The sequence below is a fragment of the Homo sapiens genome, chromosome 3 (assembly GCF_000001405.40).
Source record: "Homo sapiens chromosome 3, GRCh38.p14 Primary Assembly".
In the NCBI taxonomy this organism is placed as follows: Eukaryota; Metazoa; Chordata; class Mammalia; order Primates; family Hominidae; genus Homo; species Homo sapiens.
In genome coordinates, this window is record NC_000003.12 from 63,576,400 (window position 1) to 63,596,781 (window position 20,382).

The 20,382-nt window shown below is 39.0% G+C and overlaps 1 protein-coding gene across 4 annotated transcripts in view, besides 1 other annotated feature; it reads left to right on the top strand.

Moving 5' to 3' along the window:
* The window catches only part of SYNPR (synaptoporin), a 416,321-nt gene that overhangs the window by 375,796 nt on the left and 20,143 nt on the right, over window positions 1–20,382 (top strand). The gene's annotated exons all lie outside the window — the stretch shown is intronic.
* Window positions 388–915: an enhancer, noted in NCBI's record as "OCT4-NANOG hESC enhancer chr3:63562463-63562990 (GRCh37/hg19 assembly coordinates)". NCBI's record gives its function as "activates a minimal SCP1, AML or CMV promoter by ChIP-STARR-seq in primed H9 embryonic stem cells {active_cell/tissue: H9 hESC(primed)}" and the evidence as "EXISTENCE:reporter gene assay evidence [ECO:0000049][PMID:30033119]".

Genomic DNA, 20,382 nt, shown 5'->3' on the forward strand with positions numbered 1-20,382 from the left:
TCCCAGTTGGAATGACTTTCCAAGTTTTTCTTAAAACTGTATCATCATTGTTCTTAACAGTATGTCAAGCCAGTCCACAGTTTTCCATGCATAGAAAACACGTTATCTGGGGCTGGGCGCGGTGACTCACACCTGTAATCCCAACACTTTGGGAGGCTGAGGCAGGCGGATCACGAGGTCAGGAGATCGAGAACATCCTGGCTAATATGGTGAAACCCCGTCTCTACTAAAAATACAAAAAATTAGCTGGGCATGGTAGCACGTGCCTGTAGTCCCAGCTACTCGGGAAGTTGAGGCAGGAGAATCACTTGAACCCAGGAGCTGGAGGTTGCAGTGAGCTGAGATTGCACAACTACACTCCAGCCTGGGCAACAGAGCAAGAATACGTCTCAAAAAAAAAAAAAAGAAAGAAAGAAAAAGAAAAAGAAAAAAGAAAACATGTTATCTAAGCCTTCTTCCCAATCATTAGTAAACATGTTGACCAGGACAAAGGTGGACCTCAGAAACCTGTGATCCTTGAAGAGCCATTTGCACATTCACTCTACCCCTACAGGATACATTTTTTTTTAACCTAGTCAAACTGGCTGAACCAGTTTTTAATCTCTGGTCTATACTGTGAGGGGGCAAATCTCACTGAAAAGATTCATTAGTGACAGCTAAATGTAAGGTGTAGCGATGAAAGGACTGGGCAGATCTGGGCCTGTTGGCAATCTGAAAAACAGATGGCTATGCAAATACAATTCTCAGACTCAGTTGTAAGGTAAACTGTGAACCAGGGAGCAGCATGTGGCTGGGTAAACGCAATGCTTAAATGCTGTCTGCATGTTTACATTCAGATCTTAGAAACTGAAATCTTCCTAATTGAATTCAACAAACAATTGAATTGAGAAATGATTTATGTGCAAAATACTGCGCTAGGCCCTGAGGCCCAGAGAAAGTTGAATTATAGAGTACCCTGAATTTAGGGATATTTGGTTCACCAAGACCCACATGGAGAGGAAAGCCAATAGCTATATATGAAGAAAGGACAAGGAATTGAATTGATTCCAACCAGAGCAACTTGGGAACTGTTTTTTTGGAAGGGAGGGACAGGAGAAGGTCAAATGTGAGAAAAAAATGTGGGCTTCTAGGGGCAAATACAGTGGGGAGCTTTTTCTGTGAGAAGAGAACTAGAGTAATGGATCAGAAACAGGAGAGGGAAGAGGTCGTGTGTAGGTGTATGAATGTAGGTATGTGTGAGTGGGGGTATGTGAATGCTTGTGAAGCTGAGTAAATTATTTAAAGTTGGAGGACTTAGTAAGAAATAAAGCTATTAAAAGTAGGATGGGCCTAATTGTAGTGCATGGATACATTCTGTAAAGGATTTCTCACCCCTCCTCAAAAAAGTACGTGTTTCCAAGGCATGATGAATTCTAAGTCACTTATGTATACAACTGGAAGGGTTACGTAGGAGACGGGTATTAGCAAGCCTGCGTTTTTAAAAGCTTTTGTTAACAATTAAATAATCTGCTGGTAATAGAGGCAAGGAGGGGGATGTTTATTACGAGGTAATGGCAACAGATTAGAGAGAGCAATAGAGTCTAATCACAATGTGAACTCTTTCTTGAAGGCTTACTACATGACAGACACAAACTAAGTGCTTCACATGCACTATGTCATTTAAAAGTCACAGAACTCCTAGAAGCGAAGTGTTTTTATTCCCATTGCAAGTAAGGCCCAAGATGTGTGCAATCCAAGGCTCAAGCTGGGAATCACCACCTCCTGTCTTCCCTTGGGATAGTGTAAGGTGGTGATTACCAGCGTAGGTCCTGGACCTCACAGTTCTCACTTCACTTCTGGCTCAACCATTTACAAGCCATGTTACTTACCTTGGGCCTCACTTGAAATAGGTAGGGAGGAGGTGCTAAAGAAGGCTGTTGGCAATTCAGCATGTGGCATGAGATTTTGTCATCAGCCAAGCTGATACATGCAGGTGAAGAAGTAGGTGTAAGGAGAGAGTGAGTTAGGTTTAGACAAGTCAAATCAAAGGAGCATAGGTCTTCCATGTGTGGATAGTAGCAAAGAGTTGAGGGGTGGATCTGAAATTCTCGTGAGGGATAAGAACAGGAAGAGAGAGGAGGTGTGAGAGTGGAAGCTATGACTTCAAGACTCATATTTTACGGATAAATAGAAAAAGGGCTCTCAAAGACAACTTTCATGAACTTAATAGCTGGCAATACTGACCATCAGATCTCCCATCTAAAAGATTTTGAAATGAGTAAATGGAGGTTTTCCTTAACCATCCCTAACCAAAGAGAAAGACAGTGGTAGTTTTTTCTTCTGTATAATTTTAACAAGGTAAATAGAGCCCAGAACCTGTATCTCAATGAAATAGCCATCCAAGAGCCTGACTTGCCTGCATGGCAGAACTTGTAGAGTTCAGCAAGGCAGATACACCCAGCCAATATGCTCAACTGGTAGAGTTTGCTTTGCTAGGAATCCTGGAATCACACATTCTCAGAGTTGGGCCCCCAACTACCATCTTCCCAGCCAGAAACCTGGGTGTTTCCTATGACACTTCCTCTACACCCTTAAATCAAATCCCCCACTAAACTCCATTAAATCCATCTTCTTATCTCTTCCTTGAGTCCAGCTGCCACTTCCCTAATCCAGACTGTTGTCACCTCTCGTTTAAAGTTCAACTGCAATTTCCTACTGGTTTTCTCCTTCCCTCAAATCCAATTTCCATGGGGCAATATATGTATATTTGTTATCACATCCTTTAAGGATCTCTTAAAGGTGAAGAACCGCTGTTCAAACCCATTTTAGGCAAATAAATTAAGGTCTTCATTTCCTAGGTTGATAAACTTACCAGGCTTGCTCCCATCTCAGGGGCTCCCTGCCTCCCCTTCCTTCTGCCTGGAAGGCTCTTCCCCAGATATTCACATGGCTGGCTCCCATATTTTCTTCAAGTGTTTATGCAAAACCCACCTTCTCAATAAAGTTTCCCTGGCCACCTCATCTAGAACTTCAGCACCCATTTCCCCAACATACTTCACTTTTATCTTTCTTTCCTGAATTATCGTTTCTCCAAAATATTTACCACTATCCAAACTACCACATACTTCACTAATTTACCTTGTTCATTGTCTGTCCCCTACACAAGAACATATATTTGGCAAGGGCAGGGGTTTGTGTCTGCTTTTGTCCAAGACTATATTTCCAGTGTTTAGAAAGATGCTCAACATGAGGTGCAAAGTGAATGATCAATGATGTTTATTGACTTTTTGTTGTTTCTGTTGGTGTTTTTATATGGTCCTGGATTATCTGGCTAATTTTCCCAGTTCTCATTTAAAGTGAATAAGTAATTTCAAATGGTTTCTGAGGTTGGTTCCTCATATTTAACTAAAACACACACACACACACACACACACACACACACACACGCACACACACACAAATATGCTGTTATCTGTCATTTTAAGAAAGAACACTCTAGTGTTTCTCCTTAGTCTTGAATGCCAAGTATTAGGGGGCAAAATGGGGGGAGGACTGTTCATTTTAAAAATATTAAAAATGAATTATGAATTTTCATTTGAAAGATTTTCTCATTCATGCTTATAAATAGCCATTATATGACCCAATTGAGCTAGGAGGTCTCTAATAGCTAAGGAGAAATTCATCCTCGCAGCCATTTCATATTGAGAACCAAAGAAGTTGGTGAATATTAGAAAAAAGAAATCCCTGTATTCATCACTTTTTTATGAGCAAAGTTCATCAAAACCACTGTAGAATAGAACTCAGAGTTTTGAGAAAGTCCTGTTAGTCTTGCAGAAAATGTATGTTTATTGATAATACTCAGGTGATTTAGCAAACACAACAGTATCTGTGGGAATGATTGCGTTCCTTTGCCAAAATGCACAGAATTAAGTGCCCTGGGGCAAATAAAAATGTGACTCAGAAAAATACTTTAAAAACTATTCTTTCCTCATAGCAATACAAATCCAAAGTCAGGCATGACCTGTGGGGAGTTAAATGGCAATGTAGACTTCAGAATAAGGTAGAGATAATACCAACAAAAGCCAGACCCATGATGCAGTACAAGTGTCTCAAGGGAGACATTCAGCTGGGTAGCTATTGTGTAGTCTCCAGGACGTGGAAGCATTAACCTAATATGAACATCAGCCTTTTTTAACACAGTGCCAAGCTAGTCAGATACAGATACAGTTCCCAGTTAGTGAGTCTCTGGTTATGAAACCTAGTGTATTTTTCCAATTGTGGTCAAATGGGTTGGCATTCAGCATGCATGGTCTCATTTCCAGAAAGGCTTCACTTCTGTCACTCGTGATCTGCTTTGGGAATTCATCCTTGACAAGTTAGTCTCCTTATACAGTTCTGGCAAATTAGTCTCATTATACAGTTCTGGCCTGTGGTAACTACATCTGGAAATAACGTTAACGGTTTACATATATTGTGTATTTACCATATGTCAGGCATATAATGAATGTTTCATATGTTACATGTCATTTAATCTTCACAACAGTTTTGTGAGGTAGGTAGTATTGCCCATTTCACAGATTTGGAAAATAAAGCATAGGCGGTATAGGGATCTTGGCTAAAGCCATACAATGAGTCAGTGAAGATGAATCCAGAACTGACTTCAGAACTGTAACAATTAACCCCTGTACTCTACACTCTACTGCCTTTGTAAAGAATGAAAAGTGAAGAGACAGAGAAATGGTAAAGAAAGGATCCCTCAGGGGTGTTTTCCACCACTGTCCTGAACACAATCAGAAAAGCTCCATACTAAATCAGAAAAACAAACTCAACCAGTCTCTGTTCCAAAGCGATACTTCATAAACTGCATCAAGGGAGCACTGCGTTGAGAACCATTACCTTGAAACCCTTCGGGAAGGTTGGTGGAGGAGGGAGGTTGTATGTTGGGGACAGGGGTAGGTGGTTGTAGCACTAAAGCAACACCAAACAAAAGAAAGTTCCTGCTCATTCCAAATCAGTAACAGTAACATAGTAGATTGCATTGTATAGTCATCAGTCATACAATCATTCAAAAACATGCATTTATCAAAACGTAAAGCAAACAAACAAACACACGCACACATAAGAAAGATGCTGAGAAAGAAAATGAAGCATTTCCAACCTACAGGCAACCTGCCATCTCATCAAAAAGCATAAGCACGAGTATGCGTCCATCTCAGCTCCCTCATGATCCCCACAGTGAGAGCTCTTTCTGAACTGAAGCAATTCCAGTGTTCAAAGATATGTATTTTTGTACAACACGGTCCTAAATACAAACCAACACCTTTATGCATGCACAAAAGCAAGGGCACCACTCACTCCAGGAGACTTGAAAGGTTTATTAAAGTTTACTTTGACTCTTGCTGGTTTTCTTATTACAAAAAAAAAAATTAAAACTCATCTCCCCTCATGTATGATTGAACTCTCCCATATTTCCAACACATTTTAAAAGGTTATTGTGATTTCAAGTGTGGATTTCTTTTTAACTTAAGCTAGACACAATTACTTTAACAGGTACCATAATTTGGCTTTCACATTCTCTCAAAATCATCAAAACAGTACTTGCAAAATGTTTGCTTCCCAGGTGTTTTCCAATAGATTCAATACTATTTGCCATGGTGCATAAACTGAATGAGAGTGGTCTGTGAAATACGGAATCAAGATGTTGCATACTTACCTCCAGAATTGAGTGCGGCTTTGGTTTGTGCTCTGGAAAACACTTTCTATTTGGCTTCATTTTAGTAACAGTGAAAAAGATCAAAAACTGGAATAATATTATGAGAAGCACTTAACGGGGGAGCTCTGAAAACTGGTAGAAGATTATTACTTCTTTAGCTAAGTTCTGCAAATTTGTGGGGAATCAGGGGTCCTCTTTATGAGTAAGAATATCTTATGAAGAACCTTCGCTTTTTTTAGTAGCTAATTCCTTTTTCTCATCAACAGGACACAATATGGCATATAATCAGATTTCATCATAACAGATTTTAATATACCATAGATCATATGGTGTCCCCATAGCATAACTACTCATGACCAGATTCTAATAATATGCAAATTTAGCTAAGTGCATATTATTGGACTTTTGTCTGATAATGTTGGTCTTGATCCGCTGATATTCAGCTCCATGGTTTCATTAAGCAGTCAATTAGGAAAAAAGAGAAAAGCAGCATATATGTATTTCTTCTTTATTTTGGTAAAGGATTTTTACTTTATCTGCTTATATTGATAAGATATGACACAGGAATAGGTGCTACAGGATTTACAAAAATACATTTGACACAGTCACAGTAAGGCATAATCTCAGCAAATCCTTAATGGTTAGGGACCCAGGCTCTGGAATCGGACTGCATTTGTGCCCCGGTTCTACCACTTACTAGCTGGTTAACCCTGGATAATTTACTAAACCTCTCTGTGCCTCTGTATTTTCACCTGTTCATTGATGATAATAATAGTACCTATCCTATCACTGAGAATTTGATGAGATTAGCTCATGTAAGTGTCACGCGTGTCCGTATAGAAGACCACCTAAACAGGCTTTGTGTGAGCAACAAGGCTGTTGATTCACTTGGGTGCATGTGGGCTGAGTCCAAAAAGAAGTCAGCGAGGGGAGACAGGAAAGGGGCAGCTTTATAGGACTGGGGTAGGCAGTGGAAAGTTACAGACTGAGGTGGTTATCTATTGTTAGCAGAGAAGGTCACAAAGTGCATGGTGGGGAGATCATAAGACTCATTGTCCAGAAGAAGAATGTCACAAGGTCAGTTGATCAGTTGGGGCAGGGCAGGAACAAGTCATAATGGTGGAATGTCATAAGGTTGGTCAATCAGTTAAGGCAGGAGATGGCTGTTTCACTTCTTCTGTGGTTTTTCAGCTGCTCCAGACTTCTTGGCTCCTGTAGGCCATGTGGACATATATGTGCAGGCCACAGGGGTTACAATGGCTGAGCTTTGGCTAAGAGGCCTGACATTCCTGTCTTTTTATTTATAAAATATAAGGTTATAAGAAAAGATAAAGAAAATATAAGTTTCTTCTGGGGATTATTGGGGTAGAGGCGATGTTTCTCAGGACTGCTTCAAGCGTGACCAGGGACTGTGTGGACATCTTAAAGAAAATTTTATAATGAGTTAGTCCAGTAAGTTTCGGGTCTAGGGTGCATTTTTATGTAGCTAACAAGGTGCCAGTTGGCATATTTTTGAGCTTGGAACTGCCCTAATAAAATAAGTTCTCTAAAAACAGTAATCAGGCATATTAGCTTTTAATGTAGGCGGAGATGAGTTTTTAGGCCAAGGAAGGAATAATGTTTTACGTACCAAAGGCTTTCATCCCCATTTTCCAACATATGAATAGGATTCCCTGTTGTTAAGTCAATGATCTATTATATTACCCTTTTCCCATAGGTGTGAGTGGTGGTCTGATTGGAAAAGCTCAATAGTTCTGACTGCAGATCCTATTCAGGAGAGATAATAAGTAAAAGAATCTTTGTCTCCTGGATTAAGGTGAGGAAGAATGAATTTTCCATGATCTAAGAACCACTTGCCCTGGGTTGGAAAAGACTGGTAGAGCAGGCTTACAGAGGAGGAGTAGATGGGGGTGATAGAGGAGAAAGAAAAATACTGGCCTTTTGGAGTGAGGGCTGGAATATTTGCGGGTGTGGAGGCATTTGCTATTTCTTTTGCTGTCCTGTCGGCATAGGCATTTCCTTTAGCAATGAGATCAGTTAGTTTCTGGTGTCCTTTACAATGAATGACTCCAGCCTTGGCCGGCAGGAGAGCAGCCTTAAGGAGGGCCTTCATTAGAGAGGCATTGATAATGGAAGAGCCTTGTGTGGTGAGAAAACCTCTTTCAGCCCAAATGGCAGCATGGTTATGGTAGATGTGGAAAGCATATGTGGAGTCACTGTAAATGTTAATGTGCATTCCTTTGGCAAGAGAGAACACACGAGTTAAAGCAATGAGTTCAGCTTTTTGGGAAGTAGTGGAGGGAGGAAGTGCAGCAGCCTCAATAATAGAGGTATGGGACACGACAGCATAACCAGATTTAGCTGGCGAGATTTGGCTGGGTATACAGGAACTGCCATCAATAAACCAAGTGTGGTCTGGGTTTGGGATTGGAAAAATAGAAATATGAGGAAAGGGGGAAGATGCTATGTGTATTAGGGAGATACAGTCATGTGGCTCAGGATTTACGTTGGGTGCTAAGTGAGAAGCTGGGTTGAAATCGGGTCCGTGGGTAATATTTAGCACAATGCCTGGTATAGAAAAATTACCCAATAAATGTTAAAAGAGGGAAAGTAGGAATAGAGTTATTTTCAAGTTGAACTGGCAGAATGAGACCTACTTAAATGCAAATGAGACAGAATGGCAATGTATGCAAATGGGGCCACAGATTGTAGTGGATTCTGGAGTAGACTGGGAAGTATTTATGGAGGAGGTTTCCTCATAGGCTAAGACTTGCTTCTCAAAGTATGTCCAGTGACAGCACTGGCATCTCTTGGAAGCTTGTTAGAAATGCAGACTCTCAGACCCTCTTCCAGACTTACTGAATTAGAATCTGCATTTCAACAAGATGTCCAGAAGCTTTGTCGTGCATAAAGTTGAAGAGCCCTTCTCTAGGACACATCTTGCTTCTTAAAATGTTCAGGCCTGCCATTATCTCCCATTACACACAGCAGCATTTACAAAAGAATAATTCTGGGGGCAGGGAGCCTACACTCCTAAAAATTCCCACTGCAAAAAAACTGTGAATGTGAAATTCTAACAGTTATATATTGGAAATATGATAGAACTGGCAAAAATAAGTCAAATCACCTAAATAAAGCATGCAACATAAGCTTTGATTCAATTACTATTTATGCCTAGGCAGAGTAAAAATTACAAATTTTTTTCATCCAGGATGAAATGAAAACCAAGGAAATATATGATCACTTTCTTTGGGAGGGATTGGACAGAAGTCCCTGGTACTCTCAGATTTACGAAAAGCATGCATGCCCCTGGAAGGCAATGGCATTTCAGTCACATGTTTCCTTCTGTATATCCATGCCCCCCCCCTCCGCCCCGCACCCACCACACACACACACACCAAATAACAACACAACATTTTGGGGGGTTGCACTGTATAACACTACACATTGCAGAGAAACAGACACATACACGTAAGCTTTATCCACAACTTCCCACTTTTCTTTAAGCACCTGTTCAAATCTTGCATACCAGAGACACAGAATCTTTTATCTGGAATAATTTTTAGGAAATAGTGGACAAGAACAAAAGGGGAGAACTGATGGGGAAAATAATAATATCTGTCATTTATCCGATGCCTAGTTGTGCAAGATATCGTCCCAGAAGATTATTACTTTTTAATTCTTGCAATAACCCTCTAAGACAAGGTATAAATTCTTTATTATTTCAACTGAGGAAATAAAAGCCTATGAAGTCAAATATATTGCCAAAGGCTATGTGCCTAAGAAGTAACATAACTGAGCCTAGAACCCAGGTCTATCTTCTCCTTCCATCTGTCAGAATAAAAACATCTATGAATCCACTAGTCATCTTCTTGAGGAATGGCTTCTAATTTGTAATTCAAATGCAATATTTTTTTCTCACTTTCCACTTCACATGATAAGTGGGGAAGTGGCAAAGGAATATTTTGAAGTCAGACTGAATTTAAGCTGTAGATGGTAAAGCACAGGATAATTTCCTCCTTGGTATTTGAGAAGTTCTTCATCTTAACCATCTGTTGCAGGCTGACAGATGGGTTGATATATGACAGAATAATGGGTCTTCAATTCTAGAAAGGCATAAGGAATGCTTGAAAAATAGCAGCTCTTTTCATGAACCTAACTGTGTAAATGCCGCTTGCTCATTTGCAAAAAAAAAAGAAAAATTGGTGGGAGCAAGTGTGAAATGTAGTCACAATCCTTCCCCCAAACAGAAAATTTTTCGTAATTGCCAAAGGTCAAATGCAGAAAAAAAATGCCTATTCTAAAATCATGCCAGAATTTTCAAATTTAGTCACTTAAAAAGTCATACCAGGGAAAGCCCATACACAAAGAAAAAATAATAAAAACAACTTTTTAAAAAACCTTCTTCCATCCCTATCCCCAGCCATTGAATTATCTTTATTATGAGTTTCTTGTATCCTTGAGGGAATTTAAGAAACATGCCGATATTTGAGGCCTAATGATTTTTCCTTTAAGCGTCTCTACCAAATGTAAAATGTCTTCCCTTTCTTCTTGCAGATTCAATGTGTGTGTGTGTGTGTGTGTGTGTGTGTAAGTATATATATATATAAGTATAATATATATATACTAATAAGTTACTAACAGCAGATATCTGGCTAGGCTCTAGGGACACAGGTGATTAAGATAGTCCTATGCGCAAGGACCTCACAGTGCTTTTTGCAATGTAGCAACATGATCAAGGCATTCCTTGATCATATTAATGGCTCATTCTCCTACGCAAAACTTCAGATGGCCCTGCATGTCTTTACACTGTCACACAAGTTCTTTTCCAATCACGTATTGCAACCAAAAGAAATATTCACACATGCGAAGACTCCACCTATACCCTTAAATGCCTGGTTATTGCCAAATAGGTTTGAAGCTCTACCTATGAAGAACCAGTAACTTAACACTTTAGGTTGGAAAAGTTTGGGCCATAATTATTTAACCTCAACAGAGTGATCCTATTTTCAAATTAACGTCAGAATCCAGTTTGAAAAAAAAAATTGAGTTATTTCAGTTGAATTCATGGTCAAATGTCATTGGCCGTGACTAAATAAGGCCATGTCACTTGATGATTGCACTGTCTTCACCATCATCATCACGATCATTAATGCAACAGCTAAAATATTCCAGTCTCCATGCTTAACATTTGTATTTAATTTTAATCCTCACAACGACCCTGTAAGGGAAGTACTCCTGTCCCATGTTACAGATTTGAACACCAAAGACCAGAGAACTTTAAAATCCATCATCAGGTTTGCTTCTTCATTGCATTATTTCCAGCCACAGATACCAACTATTCCATGTCCTATCTGGGAGATTACCAGTAGTGTAGAATAGTAAGTTAATAATAGGATTATGTTTTCAAAGGAGTATTTGACAGCCTGAATTTATATCAGCAGTTTCTTCCCATTTTAATATTATGTAATTCTGGTGGAGAAAGATGTGCAATTTTTTCTGGTTTCCGGGAAGGCGTTTGCAAAGAACATAAAGCAAAGTTCAGAGAGGATCTTACTTGATTCAGAAGGTGGCACTTGAAAGGCCTGCTAGCAATTTATTTATTGATTATTGTTTTGTTTTATTTTTTAATTTGGAGATGGGGTATCCTTGAGGTAATTTAGGTATCCTTGAGGTAATTGTTGGATTACCTCGGAGCAGTGCCTATTCACAGGTGCAATCATAGCACACTATGGCCTCAAACTCCAGGCCTCAGGGGATCCTCCCGTCTCAGCTTTCTGAGTAGCTGGGACTACAGACGGGTGCAACTGCAACCATGCACAGTCATTTTCTCAAAATTTCCCAGTGTGGTTGTTTGAAAAAATTTCCCATAGAACATAATCCATTTTCAAATATAGGTTACTGGTGGGGTAAGTTCAACATACTTAGAAAAATTTAAAAATTACTTTGAATTGTATAATATTTTAATTATCCATGCTTCTATTATCTGCCATTGTATGGAGAAAAAAACTTTGTTGTGTTATCTGTTTTTTAAAAAAATCAGTTTGTGTCTGTTTGTGTGATATCACATATATACATATATGAATTTCAATACATACGTCTTGGAATACACCTTCACAGATGGTTTGTATAGATACAAAAGAACAAATTGTGAGGGGGTAGTTTTGTTCGGTTGATGAGAAAACATTGTAGTCTAGAGTACATGTGAGAGATGAAGTTCAAGTCTGGTTGCTTCTGACTCCAACCTTCCACTGTGTCTCCTGTAAGCTACACTTCCTCCAGATGTTTCATCTATATGCTGCCTGACATCTGGTGTTTTCCAGCTATATTTATAATGCCCAGATGTTTTGTGTCAAGTAGATACGGCTAGTTGTTAATTAACTAAATCTTAGCATTTTCATCTAGCTGATTCAATGGCAGTCCCCAAAATATTTCAGAAGTGCTAAAAAAAATGCATAAACATAAGAAAGATTGATATGGTGTTCAATAAGCATCCCCAAATTTCCAGATTCACTTTTGACTAACTATACAAATTTATTCTTTTCCCAGTTATGTCAAAACCAATAATCAATTTTTTGGAAAGGATGCTATTTTCTATATGACATAGTAATTCATTTAGAAACACTCAACAACCCTCGTTGCTTTCCTAAGCTTTCCTAGCAAATTGCTAGGGTACCAGGGTCCAGAAAGGCAGGAGTACTCTTCTACTAACATTTAATTGTGTGAACTGATCCACCCCAAACCTCTTTACCCCTTGCACTCAAGCTTATCTTTCTAAGAGGGATAGGGTTGCAGGTGGGGAAGTATAGAGAGACAATAGTCTCAGCAGCCATGTGAGACACCCAAATTCCCAAGAAACAAGCAGTCTTCTCCTCATGCTAATACCTACCTCTCCAGCAAATAGCCCAAGGAGTCTTTGGTCCTGGCCAACCCAGTATCAACATGCATTTTTCCTAGGAAAGGAACAAGCAGGTAGTAAAGAAGAGTCCAACACTCCCTCTAGAGGCCAATTCATAGGCCTTCCAGATAAGCCATTTTGTGTTGTATTCATTATTCACCGTGAGTCCTGAGACTGCTTTGAGAACCATCCAAGGACAAAACCTAAAAAGATCCTGGATGCAACCAGATCTGTGTCACTTTCTGTCTCCCTAGGCTGTTCAGTACTCCCCAGATATTGTTTTTTTAAATTTCCAAAACACCAAGGACTTTTCCTACAAAGCTATTATCACTATATGCAATTATGCATTCTTTTGTGATTGATTAACAGCTCTCTCTTCTACCAGAATGAGTACTAGGACCATGTCTGTTTCTATTAACTACCATATTTCCAAGACCTGGCACCTGGTAGATTCTCAATAGAGATTTGCTAAATAAATGAGTAAACCCCAAAGCCGGGCAGAGACACAACCAAAAAAGAGAATTTTAGACCAATATCCTTGATGAACATTGATGCAAAAATCCTCAATAAAATACTGGCAAACCGAATCCAGCAGCACATCAAAAAGCTTATCCACCATGATCAAGTGGGCTTCATCCCTGGGATGCAAGGCTGGTTCAATATACACAAATCAATAAATGTAATCCAGCATATAAACGAGCCAAAGACAAAAACCACATGATTATCTCAATAGATGCAGAAAAAGCCTTTGACAAAATTCAACAACCCTTCATGCTAAAAACTCTCAATAAATTAGGTATTGATGGGACGTATTTCAAAATAATAAGAGCTATCTATGACAAACCCACAGCCAATATCATACTGAATGGGCAAAAACTGGAAGCATTCCCTTTGAAAACTGGCACAAGACAGGGATGCCCTCTCTCACCACTCCTATTCAACATAGTGTTGGAAGTTCTGGCCAGGGCAATCAGGCAGGAGAAGGAAATAAAGGGTATTCAATTAGGAAAAGAGGAAGTCAAATTGTCCCTGTTTGCAGACGACATGATTGTTTATCTAGAAAACCCCATCATCTCAGCCCAAAATCTCCTTAAGCTGATAAGCAACTTCAGCAAAGTCTCAGGATACAAAATCAATGTACAAAAATCACAAGCATTCTTATACACCAACAACAGACAAACAGAGAGCCAAATCATGAGTGAACTCCCATTCACAACTGCTTCAAAGAGAATAAAATACCTAGGAATCCAACTTACAAGGGATGTGAAGGACCTCTTCAAGGAGAACTACAAACCACTGCTCAAGGAAATAAAAGAGGACACAAACAAATGGAAGAACATTCCATGCTCATGGGTAGGAAGAATCAATATCGTGAAAATGGCCATACTGCCCAAGGTAATTTACAGATTCAATGCCATCCCCATCAAGCTACCAATGACTTTCTTCACAGAATTGGAAAAAACTACTTTAAAGTTCATATGGAACCAAAAACGAGCCCGCATCGCCAAGTCAATCCTAAGCCAAAAGAACAAAGCTGGAGGCATCACACTACCTGACTTCAAACTATACTACAAGGCTACAGTAACCAAAACAGCATGGTACTGGTACCAAAACAGAGATATAGATCAATGGAACAGAACAGAGCCCTCAGAAATAACGCTGCATACCTACAACTATCTGATCTTTGACAAACCTGAGAAAAACAAGCAATGGGGAAAGGATTCCCTATTTAATAAATGGTGCTGGGAAAACTGGCTAGCCATATGTAGAAAGCTGAAACTGGATCCCTTCCTTACACCTTATACAAAAATCAATTCAAGATGGATTAAAGATTTAAAGGTTAGACCTAAAACCATAAAAACCCTAGAAGAAAACCTAGGCATTACCATTCAGGACATAGGCATGGGCAAGGACTTCATGTCCAAAACACCAAAAGCAATGGCAACAAAAGCCAAAATTGACAAATGGGATCTAATTAAACTAAAGAGCTTCTGCATAGCAAAAGAAACTACCATCAGAGTGAACAGGCAACCTACAACATGGGAGAAAATTTTCGCAACCTACTCATCTGACAAAGGGCTAATATCCAGAATCTACAATGAACTCAAACAAATTTACGAGAAAAAAACAAACAACCCCATCAAAAAGTGGGCGAAGGACATGAACAGACACTTCTCTAAAGAAGACATTTATGCAGCCAAAAAACACATGAAAAAATGCTCATCATCACTGGCCATCAGAGAAATGCAAATCAAAACCACTATGAGATATCATCTCACACCAGTTAGAATGGCGATCATTAAAAAGTCAGGAAACAACAGGTGCTGGAGAGGATGTGGAGAAATAGGAACACTTTTACATGTTGGTGGGACTGTAAACTAGTTCAACCATTGTGGAAGTCAGTGTGGCGATTCCTCAGGGATCTAGAACTAGAAATACCATTTGACCCAGCCATCCCATTACTGGGTATATACCCAAATGACTATAAATCATGCTGCTATAAAGACACATGCACACGTATGTTTATTGCAGCATTATTCACAATAGCAAAGACTTGGAACCAACCCAAATGTCCAACAATGATAGACTGGATTAAGAAAATGTGGCACATATACACCATGGAATACTATGCAGCCCTAAAAAATGATGAGTTCATGTCCTTTGTAGGGACATGGATGAAATTGGAAACCATCATTCTCAGTAAACTATCGCAAGAACAAAAAACCAAACACCGCATATTCTCACTCATAGGTGGGAATTGAACAATGAGATCACATGGACACAGGAAGGGGAATATCACACTCTGGGGACTGTGGTGGGGTGGGGGGAGGGGGGGAGGGATAGCATTGGGAGATATACCTAATGCTAGATGACGCGTTAGTGGGTGCAGCGCACCAGCATGGCACATGTACCCTAAAACTTAAAGTATAATAAAAAAAAAAAAAAGATATGCCCACCCAGGACCTGTGAACCTGTGAATGTGACTTTATTTGAAACAGGGGTCTTTGCAGATGTAATTCAGTTAAGGATCTCATAATGAGATCAAGCTGTATTTGGGTGGGCCCTAAATCCAATGACAGGTGTCCATAAGAGAAAAGAAGAGACAATGATACACACAGAAGGTGACGTGAAGACCAGCAGAGACTGGAGCGGTGCATCTATAAACCAAGCCATGCCAAGGACTGCCAGTAGAAACTGGGAGAGGAGCATGGGAGGGATTCTCCCTCAGAGCCTCCAGGAAGAATTAGCCCTGCTAACACTTCGGTTTTCAACTTCTGGCCTCCAGAAGGGTGAGAGAGTAAACTTCTGTTGTTTTAAGCCACTTGGTTCATGATAATTTTATAGCAGTACTAGGAAACCAATATAACGAGATTAAAACAAATATTTAAATTACCAGAATAAAATTAGATCATATCAAACCCAATTGCAAAATGACCGAGGAAAAGATGACAAAAAAACTGAGGATACAATAAAATCAGAAAATAAAGGCAGGTGAATATGGGAATGCTGAATTAAAAGGGCAAGGGAGAAACTAAGTTAAGTGGATGGTTAGGAACCTGTAGGAAGGAGATAATAAATATTGTCTCTATTCTATTGTAATATAACTAATAAATAGTAGTTAAGGAATTATTAGGATGTTTAAGGAATTATCAGGAATAAGAATGCTACTTTATGTTCTACTGAGTTAAATAAATACGACACAAATTAAAAAATAAATAAATAAATAAATGAGTAAACCCACCTAATGTATTTGGCCATCAAAACCTACTGGATAATGCCTATATACTTTTCTATATTGTATTTTTAGCTATAATATGTCACTGAATTTCCTGTATCAAGACTAATTAATAGAGTGAACTTTCAGGAGCTGGGCTAAGCATTTTATTGCATTACTTCTTTTGTCCTTGTCAAAAATACTATGAAAATGTATCTCATTATTGCCCCTTTTTACAGTTGGAAACTGAGGCTTCATTGGGTTCTAGGGCTACTTAGAAAGAATTGAAATTCGACCTCAGGACTGCCTGATTTCAAAGACGGCAGACTTAACCACTATGTGATAATTCCTATTCTAAAAACCTGTATATAATAAGACCAACATAAAAAATTCTCAATGAAGATCAAGCAGAATAATGAATGTAGAGGGCTTAGCACAGCACCTGACCCATAGTAAACATAGAATCAATAGAGCTATTAATATTAATGCTACTACTAATATTATTAATTTATTTTGAACAGCTCTTAATTTGCTAATGTTACTATTAACTTTCTTTGAAAGGTCTGTGCTAGTTGTAATAAAAAGATTAGGCAGGATCAATGGAAAATTAAATCATGTTTTGAGGAGTGTTTTTAACATATGATTTACGACAGTATTGCAGAAAGCTATTGAAGACTTTGCATCTATTCTGAGTTCACCAAACATCCAGGAATACCTCCCTCTTGCACCAAGATTATAAAATCAATTGCCTGTAACTGAAATAAAGAGAGAGATGCAGGGGATCTAAAAATCTTCTTTTCACAAGAAAAGTTAAGAACAAGAAATAGAAGGTATCTGTTCTACAGCTAAGCCACCACAGATTAATTGATAAAGTTTTCTGGGAACAGTCTAGAAAAGAAAAAGTGCAGTATGTCAATCATAATGAAATTTAACTTCGGGGAAAAAGCAATGAAACCCTACATTAATTCTCAAGCATCAGCCAGATTCTTCACGCATAAAACAAGATGATTGACTATTACCCAGACCTTGTAACAGAAGAACATCAGCATCCACTACATCTCTCTTTTTGCAAAATCCTGATTAATTGGCAGTGTGACAATAGTGTATCTTGCAGTTCTTACATGAAACAACTCAGGCAGAGTATAGGCCACTGGAGGGAGGAGAACAGATCTCCCTTGGCTGGTCTCCCCCACTCTCTTCCATTTTTAGAACAGTACCCAGCCCATAGCAGGGAAGATAATAAAGTGTAAACAGACGACTTGGAAAAGAGACAGAAACAACAATGGACAAACAAAAAAATCAATGGGATTTGGAGTCAAACAGACCTGAGTTTGGTACCCAACCTCTCTATTTACTTAACTTCTCTGATCTTTTCCTTCTTCATTTGTAAAATAGAAAAACTAACAGCTACTTCGCAGGGTTGTGGTGAAGATGAAATGAGGTGGAACAGGTAAGGCATCATACCTTACATATGGTAGACCTTCATTCAATATAATGAGGTTCACCTTCCAGTGAATGACACAGACTTTGGAGCTTAGCAAACCTATGTTGCAACCAAAGTTTAGCAGCTTAGTAACTCTGAGATGTCTAGCAAATCACTTAATCTTTCTGAATTTTGACTTTCTCACCTGTAAAATACAGTCAATAATAGTCACCTCAAAGTGTCATTATGAGAATTAAATGAGTAATGCGTGGAATGTTCAGTGTCTGATACATAGTAACAGATAAATGATAGCCATGTTTATATCATTGCTTAATTTTTGTTATGAGCCTAAACAATCATGGCCTTCTAAAAGCAATCGTGTTTTTATAAGATTAAGAATATAGACTGTGGAGCCAAACTCCCTCGGTTGAAATCCTGGCTGTGCACCTTTCAAACTGGGTTTAAGTAATTTATCCCAACTATAAAATGGGATTACAATAGTATCTACCCCAAAAGGGTTGTTAGGAAATTAAAGAAGCAAATATATGTAAAACTTCAATAAGTGTTCTCTAAGTGTTGGCAGCTCTCATCATCATCACCATTACCAACACCACCATTAACACTATCATCATTATCATCATGATCATCTCTTGAAGGGGTCACAAAATCATCTCCTTAGAAACTGCTACCTCCCAATTAAAAATATAACAGCAATAATATTAATTGAAATTTATTCCGGCTATGACAATATTGAAAATATAGGCAGCCTGGTCTTCTGTCCCTTACCACTTCTGTGGGCCTCTTCCTGCAGAGAGCTCTGCCTGAGCTCAGAGAAAACCATGCTTGGAGAAAACACACAGACCCCAAGTAAGGGATAAATGTGGAGCCTCCAGCTCTTGGATGTCGGAAAGAAAAACTGAGGTAGGGTGTGAACCAGAGGCAATTCAGAGGCACTTTTCCAAGTAAGTGTTTTGCAAATGAAGTGGCTGCTACCCTGAGTCCTTGGCTTATTAGATGGGTGATAACCATCAAAAAGACAAACAGGGTGGGAAGTTCTCATCCAAAATGGAAAAGTCCTAACTCACATGCCAAGCTCCTTGGAGCTGGCCATTTGCACATGATTAGAGACTTTCTGACTTCAATTTCTCCTCTCTAGTAAAGATAAGCAAACTTGATGGCTTGACCACTCTTACCCCAGAATTCCTTTTGCTTATTTAAAACACCAGCCCTGAGCAGGCCTGGCTTTCAGTGGGGTCTAGAGCTCACCCAGCAGGTTTAAGCCATTTTGCCAATGGATTTGTCATTAAAGATTACAAAGTCTAGGGGATTAGTGGGATTTGTCTAAGCACACTCAATGTCAGGAAGAAGAGGGACTGGTCTCCTGGGACCAAAAACTCCAAATCTGGTCTAAGCTCATTTCATTTACCTCCAGAAACTGGGTTTGTGTTCTTACTCATAAAATACAAACAGTAGTAATATCTGCTTCATAGAGTTGTTGTAAAGTAAAAGAAATGGTGCATATAGAGCATTTTGCACGGTACCTAGTGTGTGATAAGTGCCTGATGGTGGTGGGACTTCTGAATCTTATTTTATATATATATATATATATATATATATATATATATATATATATATATATATAATTTTATATATATATAGTTATATATATATAGTTATATATATATATAGTTTTATATATATATAGTTATATATATAGTTTTATATATATATAGTTATATATATATAATTTTATATATATATAGTTTTATATATATAGTTATATATATATAGTTTTATATATATATAGTTTTATATATATAGTTTTATATATATAGTTTTATATATAGTTTTATATATATATAGTTTTATATATATATATAATTATACTTTAAGTTATAGGGTACATGTGCACAATGTGCAGGTTAGTTACGTATGTATACATGTGCCATGCTGGTGTGTTGCACCCATTAACTCGTCATTTAGCATTAGGTATATCTCCCTCCTTTGGAGGAAAGAGGGAGCTCTCTTCCTGCTCTCAGACACTGCCGCTGCCTCCTCCTCCTATTTTTTCTCTTCCTTCTCCCTTCTTCGTGCTCCCCTCTCCTCACTCTCCTCATCCTCAATTCCTTCCCCCCTTCTTCTCTTCCCTTTCTTTACTTCCTTCCCCCTCCTCCCCCTTCTCCTTCCCCAATGCTCCCCCTTCCCCCTCCACTTTCTCTTCCCTATCCTCCTCCTGTCTCCCCCTCTCCCTTTTTCTCTTCCCTGTTCTGCTCCTCCCCTCTCTCATCCTCCTTATTTCATCATCTACCAGCCACCAGCCTGCCATGTCTTGTTAACAGAGTGGTCAAGCCAGCCTTTCCCCCAACACCTAACAAAATGCAGCTCATGCTTGGCAGGATTGCCCCTGTGGGCCGCCCACCTCCTTCTTTGGGCTGCCAACACAGAGGGCCCAAGCCTCCCTTTGGTCACACTGATTTGCTTTCAGACCAGACCACTGAGGCAATGAATTGGGTGATCATATAAACCCAACTATGGGACTCTACAGGCCAAGAGGAATGTGGGAGGCATGCTGGCCTTGTCAAAGCTGAGCTGTGGGATGGCTTAGCTTTGGACCATCTCAGACCAAACTACCAAAAGAAAGTGTGGCATTAATG